The sequence below is a fragment of the Homo sapiens genome, chromosome 22 (assembly GCF_000001405.40).
Source record: "Homo sapiens chromosome 22, GRCh38.p14 Primary Assembly".
Taxonomy (NCBI): Eukaryota; Metazoa; Chordata; class Mammalia; order Primates; family Hominidae; genus Homo; species Homo sapiens.
The window spans coordinates 21,161,939-21,167,864 of record NC_000022.11 but is presented as its reverse complement, the minus strand read 5'-3'; positions in this window follow the sequence as shown (position 1 = coordinate 21,167,864).

The following is a 5,926-nucleotide window of genomic DNA, read 5'->3' as shown; positions in this document are numbered from 1 at the left end:
GTGGCACTTAGGACCAAGGGCAGGAGATCCCTAATCCCATCACCATGGCGATAGGGCATAAACATTCCAGGGTGAAGGCACAATCCACACTGTGAGGTCCAACTGCTGCCATGCAGACAGGTGGGCTTTTACAAGTACAGGAAGGTCATCAAAGGCTCAGTGTTTTGTTTCAAAAACTGAATCCCAAGCCCACACATTATTATGCTGGCTTCTTAAAATAAGTTATGAGACGGGAAATAGGGCACCCACAAATATATATATATATAATTATATATAATATAATATATATTATATATATAATATATTTAATATATTATATATGTATTTTATATGTATATATATATATAATTTGGGAATTTGGGAATAAACTGAATCCCAATTCACACTGGGACTACACCAGCTGCCACCATGCCTGGCTAAATTTTTGTATTTGTAGTAGAGACAGGGTTTCACTGTATTGGCCAGGATGGTCTTGATCTCCTCACCTTGTGATCCTCTTGCCTTGGCCTCCCAAAGTGCTGGGATTACAGGCCTGAGTCAAGATACATATTTTTTAAATGAAGAAAAATTTCAAAGATACTCTGCTTGGTACAATAATCAAATATATAAATTGAGGAATAAAACATAATCATGAAACATATTTATAACTGCATATGGAAAATACAGAGGCTAATTTTTTAAATAACATATTTTGAAAGCATTAACTAGTAATTTGAAAAGATCGCATTTGACAGGCCAGTATGAACATACCTTGAATGCAGCCACACAGGTTCCCCATAAGAAAAATCAAAATCAGGGAAAATGAAACCACAATGGTTCAATCTGCTCTGACCTTTGAAAAACTCAGCACAGATAGTGGCACTTAGGACCAAGGGCAGGAGATCCCTAATCCCATCACCATGGTGATAGGGCATAAACATTCCAGGGTGAAGGCACAATCCACACTGTGAGGTCCAACTGCTGCCATGCAGACAGGTGGGCTTTTACAAGTACAGGAAGGTCATCAAAGGCTCAGTGTTTTGTTTCAAAAACTGAATCCCAAGCCTACACATTATTATGCTGGCTTCTTAAAATAAGTTATGAGATGGGAAATAGGGAACCCACAAATATATATATACATAAAATTATATATAATATAATATATATTATATATATAATATATTTAATATATTATAGATATATTTTATATATATATATATATATATATATATATATATATATATATATATATAATTTGGGAATTTGGGAATAAACTGAATCCCAATTCACACTGGGACTACAACAGCTGCCACCATGCCTGGCTAATTTTTTGTATTTGTAGTAGAGACAGGGTTTCACTGTATTGGCCAGGATGGTCTTCATCTCCTCACCTTGTGATCCTCTTGCCTTGGCCTCCCAAAGTGCTGGGATTACAGGCCTGAGTCAAGATACATATTTTTTAAATGAAGAAAAATTTCAAAGATACTCTGCTTGGTACAATAATCAAATATATAAATTGAGGAATAAAACATAATCATGAAACATATTTATAACTGCATATGGAAAATACAGAGGCTAATTTTTTAAATAACATATTTTGAAAGCATTAACTAGTAATTTGAAAAGATCGCATTTGACAGGCCAGTATGAACATACCTTGAATGCAGCCACACAGGTTCCCCATAAGAAAAATCAAAATCAGGGAAAATGAAACCACAAAGGTTCAATCTGCTCTGACCTTTGAAAAACTCAGCACAGATAGTGGCACTTAGGACCAAGGGCAGCAGATCCCTAATCCCATCACCATGGTGATAGGGCATAAACATTCCAGGGTGAAGGCACAATCCACACTGTGAGGTCCAACTGCTGCCATGCAGACAGGTGTGCTTTCAGATGTACAGGAAGGTCATCGAAGGCTCAGTGTTTCGTTTCAAAAACTGAATCCCAAGTCCACACATTATTATGCTGTGCTTCTTAAAATAAGTTATGAGATAGGAAATAGGGCACCCCCAAATATATATATATAATTATATATAATATAATATATATAATATATAACATATATATAATTTCCTTTTACATCCTGCATCCCTTATATATAATATTATATTTAATATAATATACAATATTATATTTAATATAATATATAATATTTTATTTAATATAATATACAATATTATATTTAATATAATATATAATATTTTATTTAATATAATATATAATATTTTATTTAATATAAGATATAATATTATATTTAATATAATATATAATATTCTGTATAATATATATTATACATAATATTATATATAACATAATATATAATATTATGTATAATATATATTATTATACAGAATATTATATATAATATAATATATATAATTATATATGAAATATAATAATGTATAATTATATATGTAATATAATAAAGTATAATATATAATATATATTATATATTATATAAAATATTGTATAATGTAATATGTAATATATAGTATATCATAATATAATATATTTTATAATAAAATATATTATATATTATATATGATTATATTATATTATATTATATATTATATAATATATGATATATTATGGTATATTATATATAATATAATATATAATATAATTATATATAATATACCATAATATATATGAAATATAATATATAATATATATCATAAATTATATATAATATATAATATATATCATAAATTATATATAATATATAATATATATCATAAATTATATATAATATATTATATATATCATAAATTTTATATATAATATAATATAATATAATTATATATAATATAATATATAATATATCAGATATCAGATATAATATATAATATATATCAGATTAAAGATATAATATATAATATATAATATATATCAGATATAATATATAATACATATCATATATTTTACATAATATATATCATTTATTATGTAATATATGTCTTTTATTATAGATAATATTTTTCATTTATTATATAATATATGATATATCATATATGATATATATCATCTATATCATATATGATATATATCATCTATATCATGTATGATTTATCGTCTATATCAGGTATGATATATCATCTATATCATATATACGATATATCATCTATATCATATATACGATATATCATCTATATCATATATACGATATACCGTATATATCATATATAGTATATAATCTATATCATTTATATTGTATGTAATCTATATCATATATATTGTGTATAATCTATATCATATATTGTATATAATCTAGCATATATATTGTATCTAATGTATCATATATATTGTATATAATCTGTATCATATATATTGTTTATAATCTGTATCATATATATTGTATATAATCTGTATCATATATATTGTATATAATCTCTATCATATATATTGTATATAATCTCTATCATATATATTGTATAAAATCTATATCATATAGTATATAATATATATCATATATTGTATATAATATATATCATACATATTGTATATAATATACATCATACTTATTGTATATAATATATATCATACATATTGTGTATAATATATATCATACATATTGTGTATAATATATATCATACATACTGTGTATAATATATATCATACATATTGTGTATAATATATATCATACATATTGTGTATAATATATATCATACATATTATATATGATATATATCGTATATATTATATACGATATATATCATATGTAATATATACGATATATATCATATATATTATATATGATATATATCGTATATTAAGTTAAGTTTGGGGATAGCCCAGAATTATATATGGATTTTCAACTGCATAGGAGCTGGTCCCCTAACCCTTGCACTGTTCAAGGATCAACAGTATGTATAATACTATAGATTTTATTCATATTTTAGAGTGTAGTACTGCTACTCATTAAGAAAAATTAACTATAAAACAGCTTCAGGAAGGTCTTCCACGAGTTCTTCCAGAAGAAAGCCTTGTTATCATAGAGAATGACAGCTGCATGTATGTTATTGCCACTGAAGACCCTGAAGACCTTTCACTTGGACAAGATTTCGAGATGGAAGACAGTGATATTGATTATCCTGACCCTTACAGGGCTAAGCTAGTGTGTGTGTTTGTATCTTAGTTTTTAACAAAAATGTTTAAAACATAAAAAATCAAAATAAATGAAGCTTATCAAATAAGGATATAAAGTATTTCTGTACAGCTGTTCAATGTGTTTTTGTTTTAAGATGTGTTATTATCAAAGAATCAAAAAATTAAAAAAATTAAAAGTTTATAAAGTTATGATAAGCTAAGATGAACTTGTTAAAGAAAGAAAAAATTTAAATACATTTAGTGTAGCCTAAGTGTACAGTGCATATAAAGTCTATAGTTATGTACAGTAATATCCTAGGCCTTCGCATTCACTCACCAAGTACTCACTGACTCATCAGAGCATCTGCCAGTCCTGCAACCTCTGTTCATGCTAAATGTCCTTTACTGGTGTACCACTCTCTTTAAATTTTGTAATATATATATATATTTTTTTCTTTGTTTTTTTTGAGAAGGAGTTTTATTTTGTTGCCCAGGCTGGAGTTCAATGATACGATCTTGGCTCACTGCAACCTCTGCCTCCGGGGTTCAAGTGATTCTCCTGCCTCAGCCTCACGAGTAGCAGGGATTACAGCCCCACGCCAGCACACCCAGCTAATTTTGTATTTTTAGTACAGACGGAGTTTCTCCATGTTGGTCAGGCTGGTCTCGAACTTCTGACCTCAGGTGATCCGCCCCCCTCGGTCTCCCAATGTACTGTGTTTTTACTGTATCTTTTCCATGTTTAGATATTACTACTGTGATATAACTGCCTACAGCAGTGGGCCCCAAAGTTTTGACACCAGGGACTGGTTTTGTGAAAGATAATTTTTCCACGGAGTGGGGATGGCTTTGGGCTGAAACTCTTCCACCTCAGATCATCAGGCATTAGTTAGATTCTTTTTTTTCTTTTTTTTTTCTTTTTTAGACTGAGTCTCCCACTGTTGCCAGGCTGGAGTGCAGTGGCACAATCTCGGCTCACTGCAACCTCTGCCTCCCGGGTTCAAGTGATTCTCCTGTCTCAGTCCCCCGAGTAGCTGGGACTACAGGCATGCGCCACCACACCCAGCTAATTTTTGTATTTTTAGTAGAGACGGGGTTTCCATGTTGGCCAGGATTGTCTTGACCTTGTGATCCACCTGCCTCGACCTCCCAGAGTGTTGGGATTACAGGCGTGAGCCACAGCACCCAGCCTAGTTAGATTCTCATAAGGAGAACATAACCTAGATCCCTTGTATGGGCAGTTCACAATAGGGTTTGTGCTCCTGTGAAGGTCTAATGCTGCTGCTGATCTGACAGGAGGCGGAGCTCAGGCAGTAATGCTCGGCTGGCCAGCCACTCATCTCCTGCTTTGTGCCCAGTTCCTAACAGGACACGAACCGGTGCTGGTCCATGGCTTGGGTGTTGCGGACCATTGGCCTACTGTATTCAGCACAGTGACATGCTGCACAGGTGTGTAGCCCAGGAGCAATAGGCTGTACGATATAGCCTAGGTATGTAGTAGGCTACGCTGTCTAGGTTTGTATAAAGTACACTCTTTGGTGTCTGCACAGCCACAAAATCACCTAATGATGCATTTCTTGGAATATATTACCATTAAATGAGATTTACCTGTATTAGTGTCATCTCAGGTTTATTGTCTAGTAATTTTAAAAGTATTTGTATATTCTTTCCCAGACACATCATCATACTCTGGTGCATATCTCTATTTTATTCCCTAGACCCACTCTTAATTTTTCTGCATTCTGCTTTGTTCCTTAGGAGGCTCACCTGAATTGGATACTTCAGAGATCTCCCTTACCCTCATGCTTTTATTGGGGTTCAGCTAATGGAGGGGGTGGCAGAAGATAGGTGAGAGAAGAGT